The sequence below is a fragment of the Homo sapiens genome, chromosome 4, assembly GCF_000001405.40.
Source record: "Homo sapiens chromosome 4, GRCh38.p14 Primary Assembly".
In the NCBI taxonomy this organism is placed as follows: domain Eukaryota; kingdom Metazoa; phylum Chordata; class Mammalia; order Primates; family Hominidae; genus Homo; species Homo sapiens.
Genome location: NC_000004.12, coordinates 26636279 through 26656449, shown reverse-complemented (window position 1 = coordinate 26656449; position 20171 = coordinate 26636279). Strand labels below are relative to the sequence as shown.

General features: G+C 38.9%; 1 protein-coding gene across 19 annotated transcripts in view; it reads right to left on the bottom strand.

Moving 5' to 3' along the window:
• The window catches only part of TBC1D19 (TBC1 domain family member 19), a 282243-nt gene that overhangs the window by 202470 nt on the left and 59602 nt on the right, over positions 1-20171 (bottom strand). For all 19 annotated transcript variants that reach the window (XR_007057937.1, XR_001741277.2, XR_007057936.1 and 16 more), the window contains 3 exons: positions 19165-19239; positions 17616-17679; positions 16263-16309 (listed from right to left, as the gene is read on the bottom strand). Coding sequence is in view for 10 of the 19 variants with exons in the window: in XM_047415904.1 (XP_047271860.1) it covers positions 16263-16309; positions 17616-17679; positions 19165-19239 (186 nt within the window). In the remaining 9 variants the exon portion in view is untranslated. The remainder of the gene's footprint in view (positions 1-16262; positions 16310-17615; positions 17680-19164; positions 19240-20171) is intronic.

Here is a 20171-nt window from a genome sequence, read left to right as displayed (position 1 = left end):
AAAGAAATAATGTTAGTGAAGTACAGCTTACATTGGAAAAATATGAAACAAATAACTCATTAGAAGGAATTATTTAAATAAAGAATGGTTAATTCATATAATAAAATACAGTATAATATGCCTCAATTAATATGGGTAATGACATGAAAAATGTTCATAATATATTGTTATTTTAAAAGTATAGTAGTTATTGCTGTGCAATAACATTGTGTGTTATTTTATTTCAAATTTTATTCTCACATATAGTAAGAATAAAAGAGTAGTTATTGCTGTAGAATAACATTGTGCATTATTTCAAATTTTATTCTTACATATGCTTTTTTATTTTTCTAATAACATGCATTTTTCAAGACAGAATAATAATAATTTTTAAAAATATTTTTAAGTAAAACTCTAGAGAGAAAAAAAAACTATTAGGAATCTAGTGGAGGGGGTGGAGCCAAGATGGCCAAATAGGAACAGCTCCAGTCTACAGCTCCCAGCGTGAGCGACGCAGAAGACGAACGATTTCTGCATTTCCAACTGAGGTGCCAGGTTCATCTCACTGGGGATTGTCGGAAAGTGGGTGCAGGACAGTGGGTGCAGCGCACTGAGCATGAGCTGAAGCAGGGCGAGGCATTGCCTCACGCAGGAAGTGCAAGGGGTCAGGGAATTCCCTTTCCTAGCCAAGGAAAAGGGTGACAGATGGCACCAGGAAAATCAGGTCACTCCCACCCTAATACTGCGTTTTTCCAATGATCTTAGCAAACGGCACACCAGGATATTGTATCCCGTGCCTGGCTCGGAGGGTCCTATGCCCACAGAGCCTCACTCATTGCTAGCACAGCAGTCTGAGATCAAACTGCAAGGTGGCAGCAAGGCTGGGAGAGGGGCGCGTGCCATTGCCAACGCTTGACTAGGTAAACAAAGCAGCCAGGAAGCTCGAACTGGGTGGAGCCCACCACAGCTCAAGGAGGCCTGCTTGCCTCTCTAGACTCCACCTCTGCGGGCAGGGCATCGCCAAACAAAAGGCAGCAGAAACCTCTGCAGACTTAAATGTCCCTGTCTGACAGCTTTGAAGAGAGTAGTGGTTCTCCCAGCACGCAGCTTGAGATCTGAGAACGGATAGACTGCCTCCTCAAGTGGGTCCCTGACCTCCGAGTAGCTTAACTGGGAGGCACGCCCCAGTAGGGGCAGACTGACACCTCACATGGCCGGGTACTCCTCTGAGACAAAACTTCCAGAGGAACGATCAGGCAGCAACCTTTGCTGTTCACCAATATCTACTGTTCCGCAGCTGCCGCTGCTGACACCCAGGCAAATAGGGTCTGGTGTGGACCTCCAGCAAACTCCAACAGACCTGCAGCTGAGGGTCCTGATGTTAGAAGGAAAACTAACAAACAAAAAGGACATCCACACCAAAACCCCATCTGTACGTCACCATCATCAAAGACCAAAGGTAGATAAAACCACAAACATGGGGAAAAAACAGAGCAGAAAAATTGAAAATTCTAAAAATCGAGTGCCTTTCCCCCTCCAAAGGAATGCAGCTCCTCACCAGCAATGGAAAAAAGCTGGATGGAGAATGAATTTGATGAATTGAGAGAAGAAGCCTTCAGAAGATCAAACTACTCCGAGCTAAAGGAGGAAGTTCGAACCCATCAAAGAAGTTAAAAACCTTGAAAAAAGATTAGACAAATGACTAACTAGAATAACCAATGCAGAGAAGTCCTTAAAGGACCTGATGGAGCTGAAAACCAAGGCACGAGAACTACGTGACGAATGCACAAGCCTCAGTAGCTGATTCAATCAACTGGAAGAAAGGGTATCAGCAATGGAAGATCAAATGAATGAAATTAAGTGAGAAGAGAAATTTAGAGAAAAAAGAATGAAAAGAAATGTCAACAAAGCCTCCAAGAAATATGGGACTATGTGAAAAGACCAAATCTGTGTCTGACTGGTGTACCTGAAAGTGATGGGGAGAATGGAACCAAGTTGGAAAACACTCTGCAGGATATTATCCAGGAGAACTTCCTCAATCTAGCAAGGCAGGCCAACATTCAAATGCAGGAAATACAGAGAACGCCAGAAAGATACTCCTCGAGAAGAGCAACTCCAAGACCCATAATTGTCAGATTCACCAAAGTTGAAATGAAGGAAAATATGTTAAGGGCAGCCAGAGAGAAAGGTTGGGTTACCCACAAAGGGAAGCCCATCAGACTAACAGCAGATCTCTCAGCAGCAACTCTACAAGCCAGAAGAGAGTGGGGGCCAATATTCAACATTCTTAAAGAAAAGAATTTTCAACCCAGAATTTCATATCCAGACAAACTAAGCTTTGTAAGTGAAGGAGAAATAAAATCCTTTACATACAAGCAAATGCTGAGAGATTTTGTCACCACCAGGCCTGCCCTAAAAGAGCTCCTGAAGGAAGCACTAAACATGGAAAGGAATAACCGGTACCAGCCACTGCAAAAACGTGGCAAATTGTAAAGACCATCAAGGCTAGGAAGAAACTGCATCAACTAATGAGCAAAATAACCAGCTAACATCACAATGACAGGATCAAATCCACACATAACAATATTAACCTTAAATGTCAATGGGCTAAATTCCCCAATTAAAAGACACAGACTGGCACATTGGAGAAAGAGTAAAGACCCATCAGTGTGCTGTATTCAGGAGACTCATCTCACATGCAGAGACACACATAGGCTCAAAATAAAGGGATGGAGGAAGATCTACCAAGCAAATGGGAAACAAAAAAAGGCAGGGGTTGCAATCCTAGTCTCTGATAAAACAGACTTTAAACAAACAAAGATCAAAAGAGACAAAGAAGGCCATTACATAATGGTAAAGGGATCAATTCAACAAGACAAGCTAACTATCCTAAATATATATGCACCCAATACAGGAGCAACCAGATTCATAAAGCAAGTCCTGAGACACCTAAAAAGAGACTTAGACTCCCACACAATAATAATGGGAGACTTTAACACCCCACTGTCAACATTAGACAGATCAACCAGACAGAACGTTAACAAGGATATCCAGGAATTGAACTGAACTCAGCTCTGCACCAAGCGGACCTAATAGACATCTACAGAACTCTCCACCCCAAGTCAACAGAATATACATTCTTCTCAGCACCACATCGCACTTATTTCAAAATTGATCACATAGTTGGAAGCAAAGCACTCCTCAGCAAATGTAAAAGAACAGAAATCATAACAAACTGTCTCTCAGACCACAGTGCAATCAAACTAGAAGTCAGGATTAAGAAACTCACTCAGAACAGCTCAACTACATGGAAACTGAACAACCTGCTCCTGAGTGACTACTGGGTACATAACGAAATGAAGGCAGAAATAAAGATGTTCTTTGAAACCAATGAGAAAAAAGGCACAACATACCAGAATCTCTGGAACACATTCAAAGCAGTATGTAGAAGGAAATTTATGGAACTAAATGCCCACAAGAGAAAGCAGGAAAGATCTAAAATTGACACCCTAACATCACAATTAAAAGAACTAGAGAAGCAAGAGCAAACACATTCAAAAGCTAGCCGAAGGCAAGAAATAACTAAGATCAGAGAAGAACTGAAGGAGATAGAGACACAAAAAACCCTTCAAAAAACCAATGAATCCAGGAGTTGGTTTTTTGAAAAGATCAACAAAATTGATAGACCGCTAGCAAGACTAATAAAGAAGAAAAGAGAGAAGAATCAAATAGACACAATAAAAAATGATAAAGGGGATATGACCACTGATCCCACAGAAATACAAACTACCATCAGAGAATACTATAAACACCTCTACACAAATAAACTAGAAAAATCTAGAAGAAATGGATAAATTCCTTGACACATACACCCTCCCAAGACTAAACCAGGAAGAAGTTGAATCTCTGAATAGACCAATAACAGGCTCTGGCCGGGTGCGGTGGCTCACGCCTGTAATCCCAGCTCTCAGGGAGGCAAGAGGTGGGAGGATAGCTTGAGCCCAGGAGTTCGAGACCTGCCTGGGAAATACAGTGAGACCCCGTTCTCCACAAAAAGGAAAAACAAAAAAATAACAGGCTCTGAAATTGAGGCAATAATTAATAGCTTACCAACCAAAAAAAAGTCCAGGACCAGATGGATTCACAGCCAAATTCTACCAGAGGTACAAAGAGGAGCTGGTACCATTCTTTCTGAAACTATTCCAATCATTAGAAAAAGAGGGAATCCTCCCTAACTCATTTTATAAGGCCAGTATCATCCTGATACCAAAGCCTGGCAGAGACACAACAAAAAAAGAGAATTTTGGACCAATATCCCTGATCAACATCAATGCAAACATCCTCAAGAAAATACTGGCAAACCGAATCCAGCAGCACATCAAAAAGCTTATCCACCATGATCTAGTGGGCTTCATCCCTGGGATGCAAGGCTGGTTAAACACATGCAAATCAATAAATGTAATCCAGCATATAAACAGAACCAATGACAAAAACCACAGGATTATCCCAATAGATGCAGAAAAGGCGTTGGACAAAATTCAACAACACTTCATGCTAAAAACTCTCAATAAATTACGTATTGATGGGACATATCTCAAAATAATAAGAGCTATCTATGACAAACCCACAGCCAATATCATACTGAATGGACAAAAACTGGAAGAATTCCCTTTGAAAACTGGCACAAGAGAGGGATGCCCTCTCTCACCACTCCTATTCAACATAGCGTTGAAAGTTCTGGCCATGGCAATCAGGCAGGAGAAGGAAATAAAGGGTATTCAATTAGGAAAAGAGGAAGTCAAATTGTCCCTGTTTGCAGATGTCATGATTGTATATCTAGAAAACCCCATCGTCTCAGCCCAAAATCTCCTTAAGCTGATAAGCAACTTCAGCAAAGGCTCAGGATACAAAATCAATGTGCAAAAATCACAAACATTCTTATACACCAATAACAGATAAACAGCCAAATCATGAGTGAACTCCCATTTACAATTGCTACAAAGAGAATAAAATACCTAGGAATCCAACTTACAAGGGATGTGAAGGACCTCTTGAAGGAGAACTACAAACCACTGCTCAATGAAATAAAAGAGGATACAAACAAATGGGAGAACATTCCATGCTCATGGGTAGGAAGAATCAATATCGTGAAAATGGCCATACTGCCCAAAGTAATTTATAGATTCAATGCCATCCCCATCAAGCTACCACTGACTTTCTTCACAGAATTGGAAAATACTACCATAAAGTTTGCATGGAACCAAAAAAGAGCCCGCAGTGCCAAGACAATACTAAGCCAAAAGAACAAAGCCGAAGGCATCACGCTACCTGACTTCAAACTATACTACAAGGCTACAGTAACCAAAACAGCATGGTACTCGTACCAAAACAGAGATATAGACCAATGGAACAGAACAGAGCCCTCAGAAATAATGCCACATATCTACAACTATCTGATCTTTGACAAACCTGAGAAAAACCAGCAATGGGGAAAGGATTCCCTATTTAATAAATGGTGCTGGGAAAACTGGCTAACCATATGTAGAGAGCTGAAACTGGATCCCTTCCTTACACCTTATATAAAAATTAATTCAAGATGGATTATAAAGACTTAAATGTGAGACCTAAAACCATAAAAACCCTAGAAGAAAACCTAGGTAATACCATTCAGGACATAGGCATGGGCAAGGACTTCATGTCTAAAACGCCAAAAGCAATGGCAACAAAAGCCAAAATTGACAAATGGGATCTAATTAAACAAAAGAGCTTCTGCACAGCAAAAGAAACTACCATCAGAGTGAACAGGCAACCTACAGAATGGGAGAAAATTTTTGCAATCTACTCATCTGACAAAGGGCTAATATCCAGAATCTACAATGAACTCAAATAAATTTACAAGAAAAAAACAATCAACCCCATCAACAAGTGGGCGAAGGATATGAACAGACACTTCTCCAAAGAAGACATTTATACAGCCAAAAGACACGTGAAAAAATGCTCATCATCACTGGCCATCAGAGAAATGCAAATCAAAACCACAATGAGATACCATCTCACACCAGTTAGAATGAGGATCATTAAAAAGTCAGGAAACAACAGGTGCTGGAGAGGATGAGGAGAAATAGGAACACTTTTACACTGTTGGTGGGACTGTAAACTAGTTCAACCATTGTGGAAGTCAGTGTGGCGATTCCTCAGGGATCTAGAACTAGAAATACCATTTGACCCAGCCATTCCATTACGGGGTATATACTCAAAGGATTATAAATCATGCTGCTATAAAGACACATGCACACGTATGTTTTCTGCGGCACTATTCACAATAGCAAAGACTTGGAACCAACCCAAATGTCCAACAATGGTAGTCTGGATTAAGAAAATGTGGCACATATACACCATGGAATACTATGCAGCCATAAAAAATGATGAGTTCATGTCCTTTGTAGGGATGCGGATGAAGCTGGAAACCATCATTCTCAGCAAACTATCGCAAGGACAAAAAACCAAACACCGCATGTTCTCACTCATAGGTGGGAATTGAACAATGAGAATGCATGGACACAGGAAGGAGAATATCACACACTGGGGCCTGTTGTGGGGTTGGGGGAGAGGGGAGGGATAGCATTAGGAGATATACCTAATGTTAAATGACGAGTTAATGGGTGCAGCACACCTACATGGCACATGTATACATATGTAACAAACCTGCACGTTGTGCACATGTACCCTAAAACTTAAAGTATAATAAAAAAAAAAAAAGTTAGAACGTTGAGATATTATGCCACAACATGGATGAAACTTGAAAACAGTAGGCTAAGTAAAAGAAACCAGTCATTGGTTATACAATAAACATATGTGGTATAATTTCATTTCTATGAAATGTCTAGCACAGGCAAATTCATAGAGACAAAAAGTAGATTAGTGGTTGCCTAGGGCTGCATGGGGAAGAGAATGAAGGGTGACTACAAATGGGCATAAGGTTTCTTTTTTGGGTAATAAAAATGTTCTAAAAATGTGGTGATGTTGCACAATTCTGTAAATATACTGAAAACCACTTGAGTTGTATATTTTAAATGGCTGAAATTTATGCTGTAAAAATTCTAGCTCAATAAAGCTGTCAAAAATGCTGGGGGTATTGGGAAAAAAAAGAATCTAGTGGAGGAGATTATGATGACAGAAACGCTATCATATTTGAGGAAGACATTAATGAACTGATAGCTAACAGCTGATAAAATATATGCTATAATACCAAAAAAGTTTCCTAAAATTGCAAACACTATATTGACACTATAAATATAAATAGTATTTGTTTAAAAAAAATTAGCAAAGAATCTACAATTTTAGCCTAATTACCTAACAGCACAATTTTAGCCTAATTACATAAATAAGGAATCATACTACAAGGGAAACTGACAAACATAAAAGACAGGAAAAGGAGAAAAAACTGTAAATACATGAGTAACAGAAAAATAAAAATATTAGAAATGTAGAAACTGTAATTAAGGAAATAATTATTTAAAATATTCGTAATTTTAAAAAGATCTCAGCATGAGTAATAAAAGATCAATTAAGGAACTGTCCTCAAAGAAACAATGTTACGAGCTATTAAGGAGAAAACATAATAAGAATAAGAATAAGAATATAAAAATTACATAAAGTTTCAGCTTTTAAGTGCTAGAAAAGGGAAGAGTTTGGGAGAAACTTTTAGTAAGCTAAGAGAAATAAAGCCATCATCATAAAGGCAGTTTTTTACTAACCTGTCTCTTCAACATTCAAAGTAAACTGTTTACAATTCCAAAAGTTCTGAAATAATTTCTAACCAAGTTTTACTTTAGCAAATGTAAAGAGATAAAATGTGAAACCTTCATTCATTGATTCATTTATTCATTCATTCAGTAAATATTTATTGAGCAGATTGTGCTAAGCACTGTTCTACTTGGGGACAGTGCAGTCAAAGACAGGATTAACTTACAGCTGACCTGTGGTAGTGTTATGCTAATCTCCAGAAATACCTGGAAGTCTGGTAGTGACCCTTGGCCAAGATGCAGTGACATGTACTAACTAGTCAGTTGTAATATGCTATTTTTATGACCAAAACTAACCTGGAGGCATTCCACAACTGTTTATTTACATTGTTTATTGAAAATGTAGATTGGTGGTTTGCATCTGATATAACCAGTTGGGTAGAAACGACCCCTCAAAAAACTTGTGTCTTGGCTCTCTAGGCCAAGATATCTCACATGTATCTTGATGGTTTATAACTGAAAATCTAAACACATCCTGTGTAACTGAGAAAGGGCCCTGAGAGCTCTGTCAGAAGTGTGGATCTCTTTGTGTTTGCAGGTTCATTCTTTCTCTTGCTGAAAGAAAGCCACATGTGGGTGTACCCTGAGAAGTCTTGTGAGTGTTGTCAATTATTTGACCCTGTGTGACTGCTGAAGCAGGGAACAAAACAGAATTGAAAAGCTCTTGCCCCTGTGGAGCTTCCTTTGTAATGGAAAAAGGCAAGCAATAAGCAAAATAAATCAATAGTATGTTACATACGTCATGATAGATGCTGTGGAGGAAAACAAAGCTGGAAAGGGTATAAGGAGTTCCAAGCAGAAGAGCCAGTGAAACCTTTACTAAGAAGGTGATATTTAAGCAAAGACACAAGTAGTGAGGGAACATGCAGGTAGACATTTAGGGAAAAATCATTGCCAGCAGATAAAACAAAGAGCAAAGACACTCAGCTGGGAGGAAGCCAGGGGTAAGCAAGGAGGCTAAAGTAGCTGGAGTAAGACCAATCAGAAGGACAGTAACCAGAGATGAACTCAGACAGGTAATGGGATATCAAATCAAATGGGCTTTTATTTAATAAGTAGAATAAGATGGGAAGCCACTGGATAGCAGAAGAGTGGCTTATTCTGAATTGCATTTAAAGGCCTTCCTCCGGAAGCTGTGCTAAGAACAGATTCTAGGTGGGAAAAGGTAGAAGTAGGAAGACCAGTTGGGAAGCTTGGATATAGCAGTGGTGGTGACAAAAACTGGCTGTATTCTGGATATATTTCAAAGATAAATATAATAGGATTACATGTGAAGTCCAAGAGAAAGAGTGAAATCAAACGTATGAATTAAAATAATGAATTCCAAGTGTCTACTGAAGGGTTCCACTTGAATATTTGATATGTCTCTGTAACTTAACTCAGCTTATCACCTTCACTAACAGCCCTGTTCCTCCTCCTGTATCCTCTATCTCATGTCAAGTAACTTCTAGCCAATTACACAACCTAGATACTTGAAGGTGATCATTATCTTTTCTTTTTCTCATAGACCCCGTATCTGATCAGTTCCCAAATCATCCTTAAAATCTCTTTCAAATCCATCAAATTGTTTCCATTTCCAGTGTTGTTGTCTTAGTTCAGACACTCATCATGTCTTCTGGACTACTAGAACAGGGAATGGAATAAAAAAGAAAAAGATTTCCTGAGTATGTATATGTGCCAGGCAGCAGGCTATGTGATGTACAGTCACTATTCTTTTTCATTATTTTACTTTTTTTAAATTATACTTTAAGTTCTAGGGTACATGTGCAGGTTTGTTACATATGTATACATGTGCCCGTGTTGGTTTGCTGCACTCATTAACTTATCATTTACATTAGGTATTTCTCCTAATGCTATCCCTCCCCCATTCCCCCACCTCAGTGTGTGATGTTTCCCACCCTGTGTCCAAGTGTTCTCATTATTCAATTCCCACCTATGAGTGAGAACATGCAGTGTTTGGTTTTCTGTTCTTGCGATAGTTTGCTCAGAATGATGGTTTCCCACTTCATCCATGTTGCTATAAAGGACATGAACTCACCCTTTTTAATGGCTGCATAGTATGTGCCACATTTTTTTAATCCAGTCTATTATTGATGGACATTTAGGTTGGTTCCAAGTCTTTGCTATTGTGAATAGTACCGCAATAAACATATCTGTGCATGTATCTTTATAGTGGCATGATTTACAATTCTTTGGGTATATACCCAGTAATGGGATCACTGAGGCAAATGGTATTTCTAGTTCTAGATCCTTGAGGAATCACCACACTGTCTACCACAGTGGTTGAACTAGTTTACACTACCAATAGTGTAAAAGCGTTCCAATTTCTCCACATCCTCTCCAGCACCTGTTGTTTCCTGACTTTTTAGTGATCACCATTCTAACTGGTGTGAGATGGTATCTCATTGTGGTTTTGATTTGCATTTCTCTGATGGCCAGTGATGGTGAGCATTTTTTCATGTGTCTGTTGGCTGCATAAATGTCTTCTTTTGAAAAGTGTCTGTTCACATCCTTTGCCCACTTTTTTTTTTTTTTTTTTTTTTGAGACGGAGTCTCGCTCTGTCGCCCAGGCTGGAGTGCAGTGGCGGGATCTCGGCTCACTGCAAGCTCCGCCTCCCGGGGTCACGCCATTCTCCTGCCTCAGCCTCCCAAGTAGCTGGGACTACAGGCGCCCGCCACTACGCCCGGCTAATTTTTTGTATTTTTAGTAGAGACGGGGTTTCACCGTTTTAGCCGGGATGGTCTCGATCTCCTGACCTCGTGATCCGCCCGCCTCGGCCTCCCAAAGTGCTGGGATTACAGGCGTGAGCCACCGCGCCCGGCCCTTTGCCCACTTTTTGATGGGGTTGTTTTTTTCTTGTAAATGTGTTTAAGTTCTTTGTAGATTCTGGATATTAACCCTATGTCACATGGGTAGATTGCAAAAATTTTCTCCCATTCTGTAGGTTGCCTGTTCACTCTGATGGTAGTTTCTTTTGCTGTGCAGAAGCTCTTTCATATAATTAGTTCCCATTTGTCAATTTTGGCTTTTGTTGCCATTGCTTTTGGTGTTTTAGACGTGAAGTCCTTGCCCATGCCTATGTCCTGAATGGTATTGCCTAGGTTTTCTTCTAGGGATTTTATGGTTTTAGGTCTCACATTTAAGTCTTTAATCAATCTTGAATTAACTTTTGTATAAGGTGTAAGGAAGGGATCCAGTTTCAGCTTTCTACATATGGATAGCTAGTTTTCCCAGCACCATTTATTAAATAGGGAATCCTTTCCCCATTTCTTGTTTTTGTCAGGTTTGTCAAAGTTCAGATGGCTGTAGATGTGTGGTGTTATCTCTGAGGCTGCTGTTCTGTTCCATTGGTCTACATCTCTGTTTTGGTACCAGTACCATGCTCTTTTGGTTACTGTAGCCTTGTAGTACAGTTTGAAGTCAGGTAGCGTGATGCCTCCAGCTTTGTTCTTTTTGTTTAGGATTGTCTTGGCACTGCGGGCTCTTTTTTGGTTCCATATGAACTTTAAAGTAGTTTTTTCCAATTCTGTGAAGAAAGTCAGTGGTAGCTTGATGGGGATGGCATTGAATCTATAAATTACTTTGGGCAGTATGGCCATTTTCACGATTTTGATTCTTCCTATCCATGAGCATGGAATGTTCTTCCATTTGTTTGTGCCTCACTTTGGGCAGTATGGCCATTTTCACGATTTTGATTCTTCCTATCCATGAGCATGGAATGTTCTTCCATTTGTTTGTGTCCTCTTTTATTTCATTGAACAGTGGTTTGTAGTTCTCCTTCAAGAGGTCCTTCACATCCCTTGTAAGTTGGATTCCTAGGTATTTTATTCTCTTTGTAGCAATTGTAAATGGGAGTTCACTCATAATTTGGCTCTCTGTTTGCCTGTTATTGGTGTATAAGAATGTTTGTGATTTTTGCACATTGATTTTGTATCCTGAGACTTTGCTGAAGTTGCTTATCAGCCTAAGGAGATTTGCAGCTGAGATGATGGGATCTTCTAAATATACAATCATGTCATCTGCAAACAGGGACAGTTTGACTTCCTCTTTTCCTAATTGAAAACCTTTATTTCTTTCTCTTGCCTGATTGCCATGGCCAGAACTTCCAACACTATGTTGAATAGGAGTGGTAAGAGAAGGTATCCCTCTCTTGTGCCAGTTTTCAAAGGGAATGCTTCCAGTTTTTGCCCATTCAGTATGATACTGGCTGTGGGTTTGTCATAAATAGCTCTTATTATTTTGAGATACGTTCCATCAATACCTAGTTTATTGAGAGTTTTTAGCATGTAGGCTGTTGAATTTTGTCGAAGGCCTTTTCTGCATCTATTGAGATAATCATGTGATTTTTGTCTTTGGTTCTGTTTATGTGATGGATTATGTTTATTGATTTGCATACATTGAACCAGCCTTGCATCCCAGGGATGAAACCGACTTGATCTTGGTGGATAAGCTTTTTGATATGCTGCTGGATTTGGTTTGCCAATCTTTTATTGAGAATTTTCACATCAATGTTCATCGGGGTATTGGTCTAAAATTTTCTTTTTTTGCTGTGTCTCTGCCAGGCTTTGGTATCCGGATGATGCTGGTGTCATAAAATGAGTTAAGGAGGATTCCCTCTTTTTCTATTGATTGGAATAGTTTCAGAAGGAATGGTACCAGCTCCTCTTTGTACCTCTGGTAGAATTCGGCTGTGAATCCATCTCGTCATAGACTTCTTTTGGTTGGGAGGCTATTAATTATTGCCTCAATTTCAGAGCCTGTTATTGGCCTATTCAGTGATTCAACTTCCTGGTTTGGTCTTGGGAGGGCGTATGTGTCGAGGAATTTATCCATTTCTTCCAGATTTTCTAGTTTATTTGTGCAGAGGTGTTTATAGTATTCTCTGATGGTAGTTTGTATTTCTGTGGAATCGGTGGTGATATTCCCTTTAGCATTTTTTATTGCATCTATTTGATTCTTCTCTCTTTTCTTCTTTATTAGTTTTGCTAGCATTCTACCAATTTTGTTGATCTTTTCAAAAAACCAACTCCTGGATTCACTGATTTTTTGAAGGGTTTTTTGTGTTTCTATCTCCTTCAGTTCTGCTCTGATCTTAGTTATTTCTTGCCTTCTGCTAGCTTTTGAATGTGTTTGCTCTTGCTTCTCTAGTTCTTTTAATTGTGATGTTAGGGTGTCAATTTTAGATCTTTCCTGCTTTCTCTTGTGGGCATTTAGTGCTATAAATTTCCCCCTACGCACTGCTTTAAATGTGTCCCAGAGATTCTGGTATGTTTCTCTTTGTTCTCATTGGTTTCAAAGAGCATCTTTATTTCTGCCTTCATTTCGTTATGTACCCAGTAGTCATTCAGGAGCAAGTTGTTCAGTTTCCATGTAGTTGTGCGGTTTTGAGTAAGTTTCTTAATCCTGAGTTCTAATTTGATTGCACTGTGGTCTGAGAGACAGTTTGTTGTGATTTCTGTTCTTTTACATTTGCTGAGGAGTGCTTTACTTCCAACTATGTGATCAATTTTGAAATAAGTGCGATGTGGTGCTGAGAAGAATGTATATTCTGTTGATTTGGGGTGGAGGGTTCTGTAGATGTCTATTAGATCAGCTTGGGGCAGAGCTGAGATCAAGTCCTGGATATCCTTGTTAACCTTCTGTCTCATTGATCTGTCTAATATTGACAGTGGGGTGTTAAAGTCTCCCATTATTGTGTGGGAGTCTAAGTCTCTTTTTAGGTGTCTCAGGACTTGCTTTTTGAATCTGGGTGCTTCTATATTGGGTGCAAATATATTTAGGATAATTAGCTCTTCTTGTTGAATTGATCCCTTACCATTATGTAATGGCCTTCTTTGTCTCTTTTGATCTTTGTTTGTTTAAAGTCTGTTTTATCAGAGACTAGGATTGTAACTCCTGCTCTTTTTGTGCTTTCCATTTGCTTGGCAGATCTTCCTCCATCCCTTTATTTTGAGCCTATGTTTGTCTCTGCATGTGAGATGAGTCTCCTGAATACAGCACACTGATAGGTCTTGACTCTTTATCCAATTTGCCAGTCTGTGTCTTTTAATTGGGGAATTTAGCCCATTGACATTTAAGGTTAATATTGTTATGTGTGGATTTGATCCTGTCATTATGATGTTAGCTGGTTATTTTGCTCATTAGTTGATGCAGTTTCTTCTTAGCATCGATGGTCTTTACAATTTGGCATGTTTTTGCAGTGGCTGGTACCAGTTGTTCCTTTCCATGTTTAGTGCTTCCCTCAGGAGCTCTTTTAGGGCAGGCCTGGTGGTGACAAAATTTCTCAGTATTTGCTTGTCTGTAAAGGATTTTATTTCTCCTTCACTTACGAAGCTTAGTTTGGCTGGATATGAAATTCTGGGTTGAAAATTCTTTTCTTTAAGAATGTTGAATATTGGCCCCCAGTCTCTTCTGGCTTGTAGGGTTTTTGCTGAGAGATCTGCTGTTAGTCTGATGGGCTTCCCTTTGTGGGTAACCCAACCTTTCTCTCTGGCTGCCCTTAACATGTTTTCCTTCATTTCAACCTTGGTGAATCTGACAGTTATGTGCCTTGGGGTTGCTCTTCTCGAGGAGTGTCTTTGTGGTGTTTTCTGTATTTCCTGAATTTGAATGTTGGCCTGCCTTGCTAGTTAGGGAAGTTCTCCTGGATAATATCCTGAAGAGTGTTTTCCAGCTTGGTTCCATTCTCCTTGTCACTTTCAGGTATACCAATCAAATGTAGATTTGGTCTTTTCACATAGTCCCATATTTCTTGGAGGCATTGTTGGTTTCTTTTTACTCTTTTTTTCTGTAAACTTCTCTTTTCACTTCATTTCATTCATTTGATCTTCAATCACTGATACCCTTTCTTCCAGTTGATCGAATCGGCTACTGAAGCTTGTACATGCATCACATAGTTCTCGTGCCATGGTTTTCAGCTCCATCAGGTCATTCAAGGTCTTCTCTATGCTGTTTATTCTAGTTAGCCATTCGTCTAATCTTTTTTCAAGGTTTTTAGCTTCCTTGTGATGGGTTCGAACATCCTTCTTTAGCTCAGAGACGTGTGTTATTACCGACTTTCTGAAGCCTACTTCTGTCAGCTCGTCAAAGTCATTCTCCGTCCTGCTTTGTTCCACTGCTGGCAAGGAGCTGCGATCCTTTGGAGGAGAAGGGGCACTCTGGTTTTTAGAATTTTCAGCTTTTCTGCTCTGGTTTCTCCCCATGTTTGTGGTTTTATCTACCTTTGGTCTTTGATGATGGTGACCTACAGATGGGGTTTTGGTGTGGATGTCCTTTTTGTTGATGTTGATGCTATTCCTTTCTGTTTGTTAGTTTTCCTTCTAACAGTCAGGTCCCTCAGCTGCAGGTCTGTTGGAGTTTGCTGGAGGTCCACTCCAGATGCTGTTTGCCTGGGTTTCACCAGCGGAGGCTGCAGAACAGCAAATATTGCAGAAGAGCAAATATTGCTGCCTGATGCTTCCTCTGAAAGCTTTGTCTCAGAGGGGCACTGGCCTGTATGAGGTGTCAGTCAGCCCCTACTGGGAGATGTCTCCAAGTTAGGCTACACGGGGGTCAGGGACCCACTTGAGGAGGCAGTCTGTCTGTTCTCAGAGCTCAAACACTGTGCTGGGAGAACCACTGCTCTCTTCGGAGCTGACAGACAGGGATGTTTTAAGTCTGCAGAAGTTGTCTGCTGCCTTTTGTTCAGCTATGCCCTGCCCCCAGAGATGGAGTCTACAGAGGCAGGCAGGCCTCGTTGAGCTGTGGTGGGCTCCACCCAGTTCGAGCTTCCCGCCACTTTGTTTACCTACTCAAGCCTCAACTATGGCGGATGCCCCTCCCCCAGCCAGGCTTGCCACCTCATAGTTTGATCTCGGACTAGAAGTGAGCAAGGGTCTGTGGGCATGGGACCTGCTGAGCCAGGCATGGGATATAACCTCCTGGTGTGCCGTTTGCTAAGACTGTTGGAAAATCGCAGTGTTTAGTTGGCAGTGTTCTGATTTTCCTGGTACAGTCTGTTATGGCTTCCCTTGGGTCAGAAAGGGAAATCCCCCAACCCCTTGCCCTTCCCAGGTGAGGCAATGCCCCTCCCTGCTTCGGCTCACCCTCCGTGGGCTGCACCCACTTTCTGACCTGTCCCAATGAGGTGAACCAGGTGCCTCAGTTAGAAATGCAGAAATCACCCGTCTTCTGTGTTGATCACGCTGGGAGCTGCAGACTGGGCCTGTTCGTATTCGGCCATCTTGGAACCCACTTCCTACAGTTACTATTTTTTAATCAAAATTATCCTAACTGATTTACTCAATGCTAATCTTTCCATATTCCAATATATTTTCCAAGGGTAATTTTCAAACACAGATCTGATCATGTCATTCTACTGCTTCAGTGACTCTGGGGCTTTTTACATGCTAATCCCTCTGCCTTGATATATTTTTACATCATCATTTATTCACATTATTCATTCATTAATATATGTGTATTTATCCAATAGAACCTACCTCAAGAAAATCCTTAGGTGCATAAACAGGTCTGAAAAGGCTTAAATCTAGAATAAGATAGATTATAAACAAAATTTCAGCTAATAATATATGAAGGCTTATTAAATAAATGTTAATCATTCTTTCACATGTTATCATACAGATAGATTAATTCAAACATTTCTTGAGAATGCATACACTGCATTAAGTACAGAGAACATTAAAATGAAAAGACAATTTCTGCCCTTAACATCCTAGATGACATATTCTGGAAGAAATTAAGAGCATCCTATTCACAAATTGTAATTATTTGTAACTGAATTGGCCAAACAATGTCAATGTAACATAAAGGTACTATATGAGAATTCTCAATGTACTTAAAATACAAACAATGCATTCTTAGTGAATTCCTCTAGTTGTATTAAACTATTCCCCCTTTTGAACTCAAATAACTATATATAATAACTCTATTATGGTATTTATCTCTTACCTAGTCCCCTACATGTATTTTTAGCAGTGGTAAAGGAAGGGGAGGAGGAAGGGTTATGTACATGTCTGTCTATACAATTATAGGCATCTATCATAGTAAATGAAATATAGTTGTTATTCATTTTATATTTACAAAATTGACTAGATTTTAAATATTAAAATGAACAAAAATAAATTCTTTAAAACATTTTAAAGTCTTCAAACGTATTTTTCACTATTTATCCTATTTTTAACAACCCAATATAATTAAGCTTGCACAATATTTACCTTAATTAAAAGACAAGAATCTCAAAAATCCACTGGATAATTTATAATTTTATAAAAATGTTTTTAAAGGCTGCTTTAAAAAAGGATAAATAAGGCCAGGCGCAGTGGCTCACACCTGTAATCCCAGCACTTTGGGAGGCTCTGGTGGGAGGATGGGAGGATTACTTGAGGCCAGGAGTTCAACAGAGAGAGCCAGGGCAACATAGCAAAACCCCATCTCTACAAAAAATAAAAAAATTAGCCAGGCATGGTGGTGTGTGCCTGTAGTCTTAGCTACTCAGGAGGCTGAGGTGAAAGGACCCTCTGAGCCCAGGAGCTTGAGGTTAAAGTGAGCTGTGATCATGCTACTGTACTCCAGCACAGGTAACAGAGCAAGAACCTGTCTCTAAAAACACAAACAAACAAAAAGCTGCTCCTGATGTCTGTATTTATTAGTTGCATGTGGTGTCTGGGAGTTTGAGTAGGTCAGTCTAATTCTGGTTTTCCAGATGATAGAAAATTAATGAGAAGGAAAATTGCAATCTTCCCAAAAGAATTGTTAATTATGTTATTTTGGATCCACAGTTAAGAAGGCAATTATTTTTCCACTACTACATTCAGAAAAAATTGTTCACATACCTGGTTCATCAGTTCCCATTTCATTCCATTTATTAAGAAGTTCTTTCTGTTCTCCAACTGGCCTCTGGAAAAGGTAATTTTGAAACTGGTTTCATTTCATTTTTTGAAGTCTAGCAATACAACTAAAAACAAGAATCAATAACTTATTTAAAAGCTAAATAAATGACCATAACAGTATAATTTCATTAAACATGTTGAATTTGGGGGGTAACTGCATTTAAATTATTATTTAACTATTATGTTATATCTAGTCTCAATGGCTTAGTTAGAACATGGTGCTAATGAGTCCAATAAAAGAAGGTAAGTGATCTGTACTGGCCAGTAAATTTCACAAAGAAAAACTGCTCCTCAGCCACATACTACTTCTCTTACCCCCATCCAGCAGTCTCAGAAAAGCATCACAAGGGGGACTGGCCAAGAGAGTGTGACTAAGAGTCAGTAGCATCATCTTCCTATAAGAAAGGCAGTATATTATACAATACTACATATTTAGACAGTTTTTAATATAAATGTATCCCTTTTTAAACACCATCCTTCTGGTGCCTTCAGTAATTTTTCCTTGGATATTATCCAAAGTATACCTACTACATCCTGTCCAACAACAGGGAATAAATAGCAGGTAGGGAGAATGAAGTAAAGGGAAACTGACTCTCTCCTACTTGTGAGCAGCTACAAAGAAAACAGAACATCCCTCAAGTGTTTTTTCTTTTCTTTCTCATCTTTTCTCCTCAATGCCCAGAGTAACATAAATGTTGAGTATTAGATCTAAATAGAATTCCAGTTCTACAGAGAGATGACAAATTATCCTTTTCGTTTCCTACGTTAATACCGAAAGATGGTACCGTATTACCTATTACAAGATCACAGTATGCCTGAACTCTATCTGTGATTCAAGGAATATGACTGTTGTGCTAATTAGCCAAAAGGTAAGGAGACTAAAGGTAATTAAAATCTTTAAAGCATATTCCTAATCTTTACAGCCAAATGTCTAACTCATCTGTACTACAGATTCATATTTCAATTTATTTGCAAAGATACAGGTTTGTTATAATAATTATTATAGCACACAAAATAGAAATCCATATAGAATATACCCACATAATTGGCCTTTTACAGATTTTTGTTTCAAACCAAGGTGATATACTAGTAAAAATACATAAATAGGCCGGGCACAGTGGCTCACATCTGTAATCCCAGCACTTTGGGAGGCCAAGGTGGGCGGATCATGATGTCAGGAGATCGAGACCCTCCTGACTAACACAGTGAAACCCCGTCTCTATCAAAAATACAAAAAAATTAGCCAGACCTGGTGGCGGGTGCCTGTAGTCCCAGCTACTTGGAGGCTGAGGCAGGAGAATTGCTTGAACCCAGGAGGCGGAGGTTGCAGTGAGCCAAGATCGCGCCACTGCACTCCAGCCTGGGTGACAGAGCAAGACTCTGTCTCTAAATAAATAAATAAATAAATGTGCCTAACAGTTATATAACTTCATGATACTTTCTGTATTTGATTCACAATGAAATACTTAAACAGAAAAATGTTTAAAAGTACCTTTCGTGCCAGTGGGATACTCAGTTCAGTGCACATACTATTTAAACTCTTCAAAATTCTTTTTTCCCAACTTCCCTGAAACATAAAAAACAATCAATTATCTTTTCCAGTAACAATACTAAAACTAATAAAAAAATTAAAGATATTACAAATTATATAGAAATGGTAAGGCTGGTTGAGATTGGTTATCCTTATTTATTAGTCCACTCAACAAATACTGACTATTGCCTACTATATGCCAGATACTATCCTTTGTGCTATGAATTAAGCAGTGAATAACAGAAAGCCTCAGTCCTCAAATAACTGATATTTTAGTTGAGGATGGGAATGAGGACAGATTTTTTAAAATGTCAAGAAGTCATATGGTAATAAACATTATATGGAAAATATCAGATAAAAAGATAAGTTAAATTTAAGTATTTTATAAATGTTTAATACTTAGGAATCTCATTAATGATCTAGTAAAAGGTAAAAATGTACAGAAATTATTACATTGTAATTTTTCCAAAAATGAAATTTTACCCCTAAATACATCAGCATGCATATTCTTAGAATAAGGACATTTTCCAACATATCACAATATCATTATCATACCTAAGAAAATTAATATTTCATGATGTCATACTTAGTCCATATATACTCAAATTTTCCAGTTGTCTCCAAAATATCTTTTATAGTTTTTTAAAATCTGGGATCCATTCAAAATTCATGCATTACATTTCATTGGTTGTTATGTCTCTGTCTTTCAGAGCAGTTTAATCCAGAATCTCTCTATTCTTCTTTTTTTTTTTTTTTTTATGATACTGACTTTCTTGAAAGGTCCAGGCCAGTTATCTCTTAGAATGTGTCACAATCTAGATTTGTCTCACTATTTTTCATAGTATTGATTACCTTCTTCATTATCTCTTCTATTTCTTATAACATGGAAATTAAGTTTTAATAGTCCTAGGTTTGATCATCCATAAATACCATATTTTAATATAATATTCTTTTCAATGACAAGCTAA